At 49.7% G+C, this 13,436-nt stretch overlaps 1 protein-coding gene and 1 long non-coding RNA gene across 4 annotated transcripts in view, besides 2 other annotated features; both read left to right on the forward strand.

Annotated features, from left to right (window-relative positions):
• The window catches only part of DPYSL2 (dihydropyrimidinase like 2), a 144,145-nt gene that overhangs the window by 70,216 nt on the left and 60,493 nt on the right, over positions 1-13,436 (forward strand). The window lies entirely within an intron of this gene.
• On the forward strand, positions 614-11,083 carry LOC124901916 (uncharacterized). Its single transcript, XR_007060865.1, has 2 exons — positions 614-6,163; positions 6,224-11,083. It is a non-coding gene; the product is annotated as an uncharacterized LOC124901916 (long non-coding RNA).
• Positions 6,961-7,566: an enhancer, noted in NCBI's record as "H3K27ac hESC enhancer chr8:26448723-26449328 (GRCh37/hg19 assembly coordinates)". NCBI's record gives its function as "activates a minimal SCP1, AML or CMV promoter by ChIP-STARR-seq in naive and primed H9 embryonic stem cells {active_cell/tissue: H9 hESC(naive and primed)}" and the evidence as "EXISTENCE:reporter gene assay evidence [ECO:0000049][PMID:30033119]".
• Positions 7,779-7,828: a silencer, noted in NCBI's record as "silent region_19045". NCBI's record gives its function as "represses an Ori minimal core promoter by ATAC-STARR-seq in GM12878 lymphoblastoid cells {active_cell/tissue: GM12878}" and the evidence as "EXISTENCE:reporter gene assay evidence [ECO:0000049][PMID:35858748]".

The following is a 13,436-nucleotide window of genomic DNA, read 5'->3' on the forward strand; positions in this document are numbered from 1 at the left end:
GACTTTTGTCTTCCTTGACCCTAGAATGTGATTTGGTTTTGAAAACACGGCATTTGAAGTCATCTTCAATGCCACCAACTTTAAGCCATTGAGCATAAGTATTTGATTGAGATTTTCAGAAAAATTCCTAAGAGTGCTTCTTTTTAGAATGAGGATGGGCTGCAACAAATGAAATGCTGAAGCAGGAACTCCTGTTCCTCTGATATGAAAATCAAATGGAGACGATACTCTCTAGGCTGAGTTTAACATAAAAGGAATTGGGCAGCCCTGTCTGGAGGGGGACCCACAGGTAATTGTCTTTTAGATATGAAAATTGCTGACACCCACAGCTGGGTGCCCCTTACGTATTGCTCCAAGGGCTTTGTGCTTTTTTTTTTTTTTTTTTTTTTTGAGACAGAGTTTCTCTCTTGTTGCCCAGGCTGGAGTGCAATGGTGCAATCTGGGCTCACTGCAACCTCTGCCTCCCCGGTTCAAGTGATTCTCCTGGCTCAGCCACCCGAGTAGCCGGGACTACAGGCATGCACCCCCACGCTTGGCTAATTTTGTATTTTTAGTAGAGACGGGGGTCTTCCATGTTAGTCAGGCTGGTCTCGAACTCCCCACCTCAGGTGATCTGCCTGCCTCGGCCTCCCAAAGTGCTGGGATTACAGGCATGAGCCACCGTGCCTGGCCGCTTTGTGCTTTTTGTTTAACTAAATCTGAACTGTATTCACAGCACTGTGACACAGCACACATAATATTAAGAGTTTGCTTGTGAACTGCTAGATTCCAGCATGCCCACTGATTGTCCTTTTGAAAAATGTCATTTTGTTTTTGAGGAGGTGGGCAAGCTGCATAGTGGCCCGTCAGATACATATTTTAAAAAACAGATTGCATCCAAGAGTGACAGTCAACGTGGAGTCTGTCATATATGAAAAGATAGCAGTTCAGTTCAGAAGAGGGTCTAAGTAGAAAGAACTTAGCTGTTTCTGCTATAGAAAAACCTTTCTTACTGGTTATTTTTCCGAGTGGTGGTCTTTTTGCTTGTGGCTTTGGGGTCTATCTGGAAGCTTCTTTTCTATCTTGCCTGAGCTAGAGGAATGTTGCCCTGCCATCCCCTCCTAGTCTGAGTTGCCCCGCATTTTAAATCACAACTCATCCTCTGGCGTTCTCTCTGTCCTGGCCCTCAGGGTCTGAAGCATCAGGAACAGCTCTCTCCTGTTTCAGCTTTCTTGGCACCACTGAGAAAAGCCTCCAAGTGTAAGCCTTGCGACTTGTGTCTTGCTGTACATGTTGCCCTTTAACCTAGTGGGTGCCATTTTCCAGGGATGTCGGGGGGAGATTTCATGCACACCTAGGGAGAGCAGAGCCTGCACCTTGTCATTTGCTGGGGAATCACTGGCACCTGTGGGCGTTTCTGCCTCTCCTCCAGGGCGGACTGTGGAGAAACACTTGAACTTGGAGAAGCTTAGACTATTCGGGTGTCAGCCGGGAAGGCCAAGTCAGGGTGATCATCTGCCTCAGTTTGGAGTTCACAGGGAGACCCTGCAGGCCCCTGGATTGGTCACAGACAGTCAATAAGCCATTAAAAACAATATTTCTCTGGCTGGGCACCATGGTTCATGCCTGTAATTCCAGCACTTTGGGAGCCTGAGGTGGGTGGATCACTTGAGGTCAGGAATTTGAGACTAGCCTGGCCAATATGGCGAATCTACTACAAATACAAAAATTAGCTAGGCATGGTGGCATGCTCCTGGAGTCCCAGCTACTTGGGAGGCTGAGGCAGGAGAATCTTTGAACCTGGGAGGCGGAGGTTGCAGGGAGCTGAGATTGCACCACTGCACTCTATCCTGAGCAATAGAGTGAGACTCCGTCTCAAAAAAAAACAAACAAAAAAATTCTCGAGTGAATGGTCAGTGTCATCTATCATTGGAGAGGGAAATGCCCCCAGCCAGGAGTTAGGAGTCTGGAGTGCTGGCCCCCTTCTGACACTGACTTGCCGTGTGACCTTGAGTCACTACCCTACTCTGTGTTCTAGCTGTGTGTCTCCAGTGAGGGATTTGTGCTACATGACCCTGGAAGTCCTTTCCAGCCCCCTACATTTGGCCATTCACTGAAACTCATTCACTGAAACTCAGAGAGATTTTGCCTCTCATCAAGTACATGTTGCTCAGCAGATACAGAAAGTCCCTGTTTTCTCTCACACTTGCTGGAAAGAATCCCTCAGCCCACCATCTCCTGTCCTGCATTCCTGGGTCTGCCTCTTCCCTCCACACGCTCGCCCCGTGCTTAGGCCCCCACTCTTGTTCTTGTTTTTGACTCTTTCCTGCCTTCCCTTCCCCACCACAGGAGCATCACCTTCTTGCCACCACCCCGAATTTCTCTTTCGTCTTCCCCCTCAGAGGCTGTGGCCTTTTTTCCATTCATCCAGATGGGTTCCTTCTGTTTAGGGACGAGGGACATCCCCCTCTGAGTGCAGCACCTGGCCCAGGGAGCTCAGAAGAGTCAGCAGATGGCCTTATGGGCAGGTGGTCCGGAAAGGGGAGTGAGGAGTCTGACCGCCTGCTCTGCTTCCTTGGCCAGAATGCTATGGCATTTGCACGGAGGCTGTGTGATGCGATCTGGCTATAGAGTGGGGCATCCAATGAGCGAACCTCAAGGAATAAAAGTCATCAGAGGGGGCAGTGTATGGTTAGCATTGTGACCCCCAAATGCCATTGCTTTTATAGCCTGAGAAAAGTACTAACTACTTTTGCAAATAACCACCTATGTTTACTGACCTCTGTAGAATTTCTACTAGCCTGCCTTTCCCCGGGGGAGGGAATGGTAATAATACAGGTGAGGAACTGAGGAATTTTTATCCTTTTTCTGTTTGCTGACCAGACGTTCTGCATTGCTTTAAGTGAGTGAGTGGCTGGGATTTGCTTTACAGAGAAGGAGGCCTTGCAAAGAGAAATAGCTTAATGCCACTTCATTGGCACCTAAGACCTGCTACTTTCTTTGACTTAATATATTGAGTCCAGAAAGAAATGCCTGGGGCACTTTGAAAACTTCACAGGCCCACTGCTGCTTGCTGAAATAAAAAATTGAAGTGAATTGGTACAAAAATCTCCCTCTTCCTCCCAACTCCCCGCCACCCCGCCCCTGGGCACTCCACCCTCCTGGCTTTCTGGCCTTCTCCAGACCATGTCACCATGTCACCTGCCCTCACGGGTAAATCCTCGCCTGCCTCCCTGCTGGCTCTGCGTTTCCCAGGTCACAGGCCCTGGAGACTCCTTTCTGTCTGAAATGGCGCCGCATGTAGAGGAAAACACAGCCAAATATTCTCGGTTTAAAAAAGGAGATGGCATGTCAGCAGCAGAAGATAATATTATTGCCATTAAACAGAGCCTGCTATTGAGAATCACACAATGAGATCTTTATGAGGCGGACTCAGTGTGGAGCAGGGGGAACGCCCTTTGCCCTTTCCACCCAGTGGTGGGTGGGCAGAGACTGCAGACATACCCTGCAGGCGGCATCCAGACCGGCTGAGGGGTTGCGGGGGCGGCCGCATTGCTGCTTGGGGAAAACCCTACGGACTTCCCAGGGCCTTCATGGTCATTTGAGTTCAGGATCTCAGAGTTTCTAGGAAGCAGCTGGGAACAGTTACCTCTATTTTATAGAGGGGAAGACTGAGGCCGGAAGGACAGACACGACTTGCCAACACTTACCCTGTGCGTCGGTGCAGGTGGCCAGGTGTGGAACATACACCTGTAGCTCTGGCCTCACCGCTTGCCCTGGGGCCACCTTTGCTCTCAGCCTCAGTGGCCTCATCTGCAAAATGGGGCAAGTTTTGACAAAGGTGGACTGTGGTGGCATCACAACAGCATCTGCCCAGTAGTGAGCACTCCCATGTGGTAGCTATTGTCATTCCATCCTTGCTGGGTACTGACACCCTCCCATCTCTTGTACACTGAGCTCTACTCTCCCCCGCATGGCCGGAGAAACAGGCTGAGCTGCCGTAGGGCTTGACCTGAGTATTCACTGAGAGCAGGCGCTGTCTAGGCGTGGCTGGCGGACTGTGTGCTTTGTGTGTTGCTTCTGGGGGCGGCATCTTGAAACATTACACTTCCTGGGTCCCACCTTACCTGGTTAAAGTAGCAAATCTGCTGGTGGGGTCTGTGACTCTGTATTCGAATCTGGTGCTTGGGGAGCTTTTTGAAAGCATGACTTTCAGGGGTGCATGCCGGATCTGCACACTCTGGATCTCCAGGGCTTGGGAACCACTGCTCTGAATGTCATTTCTGCTCACCTGAACTCCAGGCTCTCTCTAGAGGAGGTGCACCCTCAGGCACAACATACCCAGCAGGCTTCCTGGTCCCTGGGTAGCACCGCACAGCAGAGATGGGGACTGGACTCTAGCAGGGAGGAGGAGGGGAGGTGCTGCTGCCGCAGGGCTGGAAGGGGCCCTCCCTCCTGAGTACCAGCCTTGTCACTTCTCCCCTGGCTGTGGCTCCCTGGATGTGCATCAGGCACCTCCATCCAACTGTCCCCAGTTGGACTCCCTGTCTGCTCCTTGCTGCTTTTCCGGTGCCCAGTCCTGGAGAGGGCTCGCTGGAGGTTGTGCTGGCGGTATCTGCAGAGTCATCCTAGCATCTTCATGTCCTCGTGCTGCCTTGAGTTGCTTTCATCTCTGTGTTACCTCTTGCACTCATTCCCTTACCCACACAGATTTGACTTTTGTCACCTCTTCCTGGATTTTGGCCCTGTCCTCTGAGGAGTCTTACTGTCTGTCCCCCACCTCCTGCCTCTCGCCAGGCTGTTTTTCTGGTGCAGCTTTCATTGTGCCGCCTTCTTCCTCTGAAGCCTTCAGTGACTCCCTCTTGCTCAGAGAATCAGCCCAAGTGTCAGAACCCTCCACGACGCGGCCTATTCCTGCTGCCCCAGCCCAGACTTGCATTGTCATCTCAGCCAGGGATGCCCTCCCTTTCTTTCCCTGCTTCTAGAAGCTTCATCACCCTTGGTGGCCCAGCCTGGGTGCTTCCCATTCACTGATCTCCTGTGATCTGTGGCTGCTGTGTGGCCTCTTCGCAAACGTTGGGCTTTTATCCCACAGCCCAGGTGGCATTCAGCCTTGCGTGTGGTTCAATCAAGGCCCCTCTGTCTCTTACATTTTCCTATTTCCTGCCGCCTGGGCAGCCTCACTCCTCAGAGGCACTCTGTTAATGCCCATGGGTGAATGAATGAGTGAGTGAATGAATGAATGACTGAATACACTGACGATACTTGATATCCTGCTTCCTCTGAGTGATGCCAAGAGACTTAGTGTCACAAGGAGGGAGGAGGGTTTAGGTATCCGACGTGGACTGTGTTCACCCTGATGGAAGCTGTCGCTTGCTCAGCAGTGGCTCCCTCTGCAGCCCCAGCTCCCTGAGTCCCTGTGGTCAGATCTGGTCATGGTGGGGGAGGGTGGCAGAAAGAGGAAGCCGAGAGCCCAGGCATGGCCTGTGGTTGTGGATGGGACAGCTCCCTCTGTCTGGGCTGTTCTTCAGAAGAGGGTGGGAACAGCAGCTCTCTCATTGGTCCTCTTGCGAGAAAGCCTGCTCTCCAAGTACAGAGGGTCACAACATGGAGAAATCACATGGTCCCAGCACCACAGTGGACCCAGCAGTCATTCCCCCAGTGCCTTGGGCTTGTCCCGGCTCTTCCTACTGAGCCTCCCCATGGAGGCAGGAGGGCTGGGAGGAAGGTGAGGTGGCTTCCTGAAGGGACGTGGCTCCTGAATGTCACTGCGGTACATCCACGGCTTGTCATTTGTTCATCCATGTGGCATGTGGGTTGCTCCCTCCTTATGGCGAGTACACACGTGTGAACGCATGCACACACTGTAATATGGATGTGTCTGTAATTGATACTTTGATTATTCCCTTTGCAGCACTCATTTGACTCGGGTTAGAAAGTGTTTACAAAAACGCCCGACCACATCAGACCCAAGTTTCAAAGTCCAGGACCAAAGTTGTTGCCACAAAATCTGCCTGTGGCCTGGCGATTAGAAAGCCACGTTATCCAATGGGCCATTGGTGTGGGCTGGTTCTCTGTGCTCCTCCCCTTGTCCCCTCAGTCTCCACATGGTTGAGGTCACACATTTCTCCTAAGGACACGGGTGCCCTCTGCAAGCAGATGCCGGGAGCCTGGGTCCACTCAGGTGTCACTGCGTGAATCTCGGCCTTGAACGGCTGGACTGGAAGAATCCATCCACCCTCAGGTGTCACTGCGTGAATCTCGGCCTTGAACGGCTGGACTGGAAGAATCCATCCACCCTCAGGTGTCACTGCGTGAATCTCGGCCTTGAACGGCTGGACTGGAAGAATCCATCCACCCTCAGGTGTCACTGCGTGAATCTCGGCCTTGAACGGCTGGACTGGAAGAATCCATCCACCCTCAGGTGTCACTGCGTGAATCTCGGCCTTGAACGGCTGGACTGGAAGAATCCATCCACCCCCTTGGCATAGTTTGGGCCGATCTAATGCCTGGCACTGAGCAGAGCGGAGGGATCTCCTAATGCCTGGTGCGGTACAGGGGAAGGATGGCGGAGCATCCTCAGAGACAGCACAGCTCTTCCCAAAGGTCCAGCACGCACACTTTACCGAATGCTTTTCTTGTGAAGGGAGTCATTGGGTTGGGCTAGCCAGGTAGGCTGGGTAGGCCTGTGGGGGTTAGGAACTTCTAGGCCCTTCCAGAAGCAAGGGCATCCCCAAGTGGGTGTCTAGACTCTGTTTCGTGGACATTGTGGCAGTTATCATACTGTCCCAGGGTTTCTTGCCCCCACCTGGCCCTGGGAGCTGGCAGTTACAGTGCTGGAAATGAGCCTGACTCACTGGGGTGGTGATCTTCCACCCCTTCAGGTGCCCTCATCCCAGTTCCTACTCTGCCTATGGGTGTTTTACATGGAGAGTCACAGCACTGGGGGTTTCCCAGAGCCTAGACTCTGACTTGCCCTAAAGCTGGGTCACACAGACTATTGGGAACTTCCTGTCGATCCTGCTGGCCTGATTGACAGCTGGAACCGGGAGTGGAGGTGGGGCCCATGGGAATGCTAGGCTCCAGCAAGTTCTGCCTGACCTTTGGATGTGAGGGTCAGGCATTCAGTGGTCGGGTCTCAGGGTTCCTTATTGCTAGATGAAAGCTTCCACGACACACATGTGTCTAAGTGTGCCCTTGTCCTATGTCCTGGCTGAGTGAGTTGGGCAGAGACTTCTGAGGACAGCGATCGTGGCCTCTCCATTTTCCTAAGGCCCCTGCATGCCTGGAGCTGGCTGTGGGGGCAGCCAGAGAAGCTGCCCAATGAGTCTGATGGGAGCCAGACCCGTTACTCCTTCTACTCATGATAGCTTTAGCATTGTTGTCCCGGGGCAACCCTTTCTCATGTGAAACCTTGCGTGGAACCCCCTCCACCTGAGATATGAGACTGATGAATGCAGAACTGCTCTGGTTGGAATGGTGGGTGGCAGGTGGGCTGTGGGGGAGTCCAGATCCTCTCCGCTTTCTCTTTGTCATCCCCCCATGGCAGCCCCTCTGCCTCTGGAGAATCCCAGAGCTTGGGGAAGCACAGGATGGAAACCAACCCATCCTGGCACTGCCTCCCCCTCTGCCCACCTCCCCTGCAAAGCTTGCAATGCGATTGGTCCTGGTGTAGCCTCCGTGTTGAGTTGTAGGGGAAAGGGTGTTTAGTAAGCAGGCATATACCCACGGAGTCGCTTAAGAAAACACCTAACCACACTGTAAGTTTTTAGTAGTTTCGTTTAATATCCCTCTCTCTGTTCAAGACAGGAACCAGGGTAGAGCACCTGTTTCATTTTCCCTGCCTAGGTTTGGGTTGGTTTTCTTAGCTTTTTATGACAGCCCATAATAGGTGAGCATTCTGCCCTTTTTAAAAAAATTAATGGTGCAGAGAGTTTTATTTATTTATTTTTTAGAAACGGTGTCTCACTCTATCACCCAGGCTGTAGTGCAGTGTTGCGATCATAGCTCACTGCGGCTTTGAACTTCTAGGTTGAAACAATCCTCTTGTCCCAGTAGTTGGGACTGTAGGTGTGCACCACTACACCCGGCTAATTTTTTACTTGTTAGTAGAGATGGGGTCTTGCTATGTTGCCCAGGCTGGTCATGAACTCTTGGCCTCCGTTGATCCTCCTGCCTTGGCCTCCCAAAGTGCTGGGATTACAGGCGTGAGCCACTGTGCCTGTTTGGTACATTAGTTTTTTTTTTTTTGTTTTTTTTTTTTTATTAAGACGGAGTTTTGCTCTTGTTGCCCAGGCTAGAGTGCAATGGCGCAGTCTTGGCTCACTGCAACCTCCACCTCCCAGGTACAAGCCATTCTCCTGTCTCAGCCTCTCAAGTAGCTTGGATTACAGGCATGCACCAACATGCCCAGCTAATTTTTTTTGTATTTAGTAGAGATGGGGTTTCACCATGTTAGTCAGGCTGGTCACGAACTCCTGACCTCAGGTGATCCACCCGCCTCGGCCTCCCAAAGTGCTGGGATTACAGGCATGTCCCACTGTGCCCGGCCGGTACATTAGTTTTAAAGGGAAGATTGACTGTGGGTGGCCAAGGGATTTGTGTTTTCTGACTTAACCATCCATGGCTCTGACCCCAAGTCACCCATTAAGGGCTGTTTCTCCCTTTTTTTTTCCTCTTCCTCCCCAAGCTGACCTTTCTCTCTTCTTAAGAAGTGATTACTGATTTCTTTAGGTTTTGAGGGTTCTGTCTTTGACTCTCCGTGATTGTTGGGTGAAGCCATTTGCTTAAATTCCTTGCTTTTAGAGCGTCTTAACTGCCATGGTAATGATAAAGGGGAGTGACAGTGAGTAGAAATTAGAGTTCTTTCTGGTTAACCCATTTGGGAGGTAGCTTTCTTTGAATATGACTAAGTGTTCCCCCTAATGACAGAGAGGATGTTGCTGGGGGTTGGGTCGCGGTGGCTGAGGCTGCTGTCCAGTTAAGAGAATTTTGCAATGAACTAGGGCAGTGGTTTAAAAACCTTGACTGCACATTAGAATCCCCTGGGGAGTTGTAACAAAATGCAGAGACCAGACCTTCTGACTTAATTGTTCTAGGTGGGCCTGGCATTGGTCGTTTTGAAAGCCTCAAGGTGATAGCTGGGATTAAGAATCATGGATCCCAGTGCTTGTTCTGATAGTTGGACTTCTGTTGAAACCGAATGAATGTCTGCCAAGATTTTCCGAAACCCAGAGCTGCCCTCTGCTCCCTGCTTTGTCCTGTCCTCTTCACGAAGGGAGTGGGATCACACTGTTGCTATCTGGCCAGGGTGGAGTCTACAGCCAGATGCTCCCCAGAAGCTTAACCATGGAGGGGCTGAGCTAATTGTCACCAGAAAGAGCCTCCTCCTTCAGTTGCTGTCCTTGGTGTTCGGGAAGGTTTTACTTGGCTAATTCCCTAAAAGGGCACTGGTTAGGACTTGGAGTAAGTGGTGATGAGCAAGAGCAGGGCTGGCTGGTGGGACAGGGTGGGTGCCGGGGGCAGAGGGGAACTGGAATGTGGACTGCTGTCCCCAGCCTGTGGCCACCTGCTGTGCTGGTTTCCCTGAGAAAACCCTACTGTCTTTAGGTTGAATCTGTAGTGTTTATGACCTAATCACTCTCTAATGATAGGTCAGGACTGGAATCTTTCCTTGTGGGGAGCCTGTGAGACAAAAATCAAAAGGGCCTGATAATAACATAGAATCATGGACTCTTAAGGCAGCCATTCACCTCCTTCCCAGCCCCGCTCCCACAGCTGGGCACGGTTTATTGGACCAGGCTTCAGAGGATGGGATTGTAAGTAACTCAACAGGACAGGATGGGAGCGCTCCAAGAATCAGATCTAAGTTTAACTTCCCTTTCTAGTGCTTTCTGTCTGAGCGTGATCATCCTAATGTGTTTCTAGATGGCTATTTCCACATGTGTAAAGTGGAGACAATCAATTCTTATGTCTTACGACTATGGAAAAAGTGAGTTTTTTTGTGCCATACTATTTGAAAGTAATCATTGTGACACCTTTGGAACAAGTGTGAAAAGATCTCCCTCTCTCTCTCTCTCACACCTGTCTGTATCCATCTTTATCTTTTTATCATCTATCTCTATCTATCTATTAATATATATTTATCTATCTAGCATGACCTGGGATAGGTGAATTCTATAGCCAGGTGGCCTCCAGAAGCTTACGAAATGATCGTCTACCAAATCTACCATCTATCTATTTCCCTACCTACCTATCATTTATCTAATCTATCTATATATTGATATATATCTATCTGGTCTATATCTATCTTGATATGACATCTGTCTGTACCTATGGTCTATCATCTCTATTTAATCCATCGTCTCTATATCTATTGATTATCACTTATCTGTTTTACTTATCCTAATCTATCATTAATCTATCATCTTTCTAATCTATCTGTATATATCTATTGTTTATCTAATCTATCAATTGACCATTCATCTGTTCATCTTTCATATACCAAAGATGCAGTTGCATGCCACCTGATTCCAGATGGGTTATCTCACTTCACTGTCACTTAGTGAGATCAGGAAGAAGTCTCAAGGATTGTTTCAACTTCAAGCCTATGTACATGAGTTTGCGTTTTGAACATAGCAGGAAAAACAACGATGTATAAGAAGCTTTCTTATTGGCTGGGCATGGTGACTTATGCCTGTAATCCCAGCACTTTGGGAGATTGAGGTGGGAGGATCACTTGAAGGCGCCAGGAGTTCAAGACCAGCCTGGGCAGCAAAGTGAAGCCTTGTCTCTACCAAAATCAATCAATCAATCAATCAATCAATAACTAAAAATAAAAATAAAAAATTAGCTGGGCGTGGTGACACATACCTGTAGTCCTAGCTGCTTGGGAGGCTGAGGTAGGAGGATTGCTTGAGCCCCAGAGTTTGAGGGTGCAGTGAGCTATGATTGTGCCACTGCACTTCAGTCTGGGAGACAGTGAGACCCCATCTTAAAAAAAAAGGTATAATGTAGCTTATAGGGCTTATAATCCTGTAAGAAGACTTCTTATGCAAGAAAATAAAAATTTTACTTTTCGCTATTTTTTTTTTCCTCCTCCAAATAATCTCTGGAGAATTTGGAGCCTGATTTTCTTGACAACACATCTGGCCCTGCAGATGTAAAGCAGTGTTCCCAGAAAACAGCCCGTCAAATCAATAACTCTTGCTATCTTTGAATTTTCAGCCTTTTTTGGCATTCAAATGAGGCCAACTTTATAAGTGGCCATTGCTGTGCTGTTGAATTCAAGCCCCTCCGTTTTTCATGGTGGATTCCTTGCATTGTCTGCTAGGGGGGTTGCATTCCTCGCTGAACCAGACCTCTGCCCTCTTCCCCGCTGCCTTGCAGTTTGCTGAGCTTCCAGGCAGGGCTGCAGGGTCGTGCTGCTGGAAGTATTGGTGACAAATTCTTCCCCAGTGGGTGTTTCGGCTAAGGAAGCATTTAGTCATGTAGGGCCTACCATGCCCAGCAGTGCAGCGTGGGAGAGGCCTGGCAGAGGGCAGAGCTCTCTTCTCTCCAGCCGGGTGTGGCTGGTGGCTCCTTCCTCTTTTGTAGTGTCAAACCAAGGGATAGTATGGACCCAGCAGAACTGAAAGCAAAGGGAGGACCCATTATTAGCCAGTTCTGGCAGAGGCGAGCAGCTTCTTTGTGTGGACAGGCATATCTCATGCCTTTTTGCTTCAGCTGGGAGTTTGTTTTTTTTTTAATTACTGTTATTTATTTATTTAGTACCTTAGCTCATTAGCTGCAGAAATCACAGGGGATGAAAAAGCAGGTAGGATGGGTCCATCCTTAAAGCAAGGAGAGAGTTGAATGAGGAAACTGTCCCTGAGGCCTTGACAGATATTTTGGAGCTAACTCTGAGCCCAGTGAGGGAGGACCTAATCTTTTGGAGGAAGTGCAACTTTAGCTTCAGAGTTTTAAATGGAAACTGGGCAGAAAGCCACAGCTTGGGCACAGCATTGGTGGCGTGTTGTTGTGTCACTTTGCACAGTTAGATGGGGCTTCAGCCCTCTTTGTAGGATGAACGTTTAGGTTCTTGTCCAAACGAATACACTTCTATATCCTACTAAAAATGATTGCAGGACAGCAGTGCAAACCAGGGCTGTCCTAGGCAAACCCAGGCATCTGTCACTCTAAAGGACACAAGGACACGTGTTGAGTCCTCTTGTCCTCCAGTGAGCTCGGGAAGGGGATGACCCTAGCAGTTGCTCTCTGGACCTCTCCACAGACCTGCCGGGAGTCATGGGTAGGAGTTGTGTGATTCTGTCCTTTTCACAAGAGATGGTTAGAAGAAAGTGAGGAGTTTGGAGGGAGCAGATAATTGATATCATTTATCGGGAATCTGTGGGACGCAAGCCCTGCATACACCATTTCTAATCCTTCCATCAACCCCGAAGATAGATAGGCTTATCCTCCTGTTATAAATGAAGTAATGAGCAGTCCAGAGAAGTGAAATGACTTGCCTGAAGCCACAGAGCCTGCAAGTGCGAGGGCTGGGATTCCAATCCAAGCTCTGGGCCAATGGCCCTTGCATATCCTAGAATGCGAGAGGAACGTTTGTTTTGTAGCAGTTAGACAGCCTGCTCATGAAAGCTGCTTTGTGCCCAGCCTTGTGACAGGTGCTTTACAACAATCCCAGACACAGCACCCACCTTGAGTTTGCCCTCAGGTACAGGGCTCCTATCCATCCTGGAAGAACAGAAAGATTTTGGTGTTCAAGTTTTATCCTGCCCTTCCATCCACCTGTTATTTAAAAGTACTTTTTCTGTAATATATAGGCAGAAAATGATCAGATATCATACGTCTCCTACTAAGTGGGAGGCTGCACCCAGCATGGAAGATGCTCACCAAGACGGTGGTATATTGGGTGTCTCTTCTCTCCTACAGAAGCCCTGGGTTGATGCCCTAGATCTCCCCTTGCATCCCAGAGGGGGATTTGGAGAGCAATCAAGAGGAGTAACTGATGCCATGCATTCATCAACTGAACTTAATCCTTCTTCTGGGAGGCCCGGGAGCCTTCTTCCATGCGGGGCCAGATTGAGCTGATTTCTGTCACGTAGGCTGCTCCGAGGTTGCCTTGCCCTTGCCTGGCACTCATCTTTTGCATTTCTCTGAATCGCTTTGGCGTGGGCTTTTATGAGGTTCATTAGGCTCAGCACCTCCCATGTCTGCTTGGGAAACACCACGGGCAGATGGCATTTTTCTTTTCTTTTCTTTTTTTTTGGATACAGAGTCTCCCTCCGTTGCCTAGGCTGGAATGCAGTGGCTTGATCTCAGCTCACTGCAAGCTCCGCCTCCCAGGTTCACGCCATTCTCCTGCCTCAGCCTCCCAAGTAGCTGGGACTACAGGCGCCCGCCACCACGCCCAACTAATATTTTGTATTTTTAGTAGAGATGGGGTTTCACTGTTTTAG

Source organism: Homo sapiens, chromosome 8, assembly GCF_000001405.40.
Source record: "Homo sapiens chromosome 8, GRCh38.p14 Primary Assembly".
In the NCBI taxonomy this organism is placed as follows: domain Eukaryota; kingdom Metazoa; phylum Chordata; class Mammalia; order Primates; family Hominidae; genus Homo; species Homo sapiens.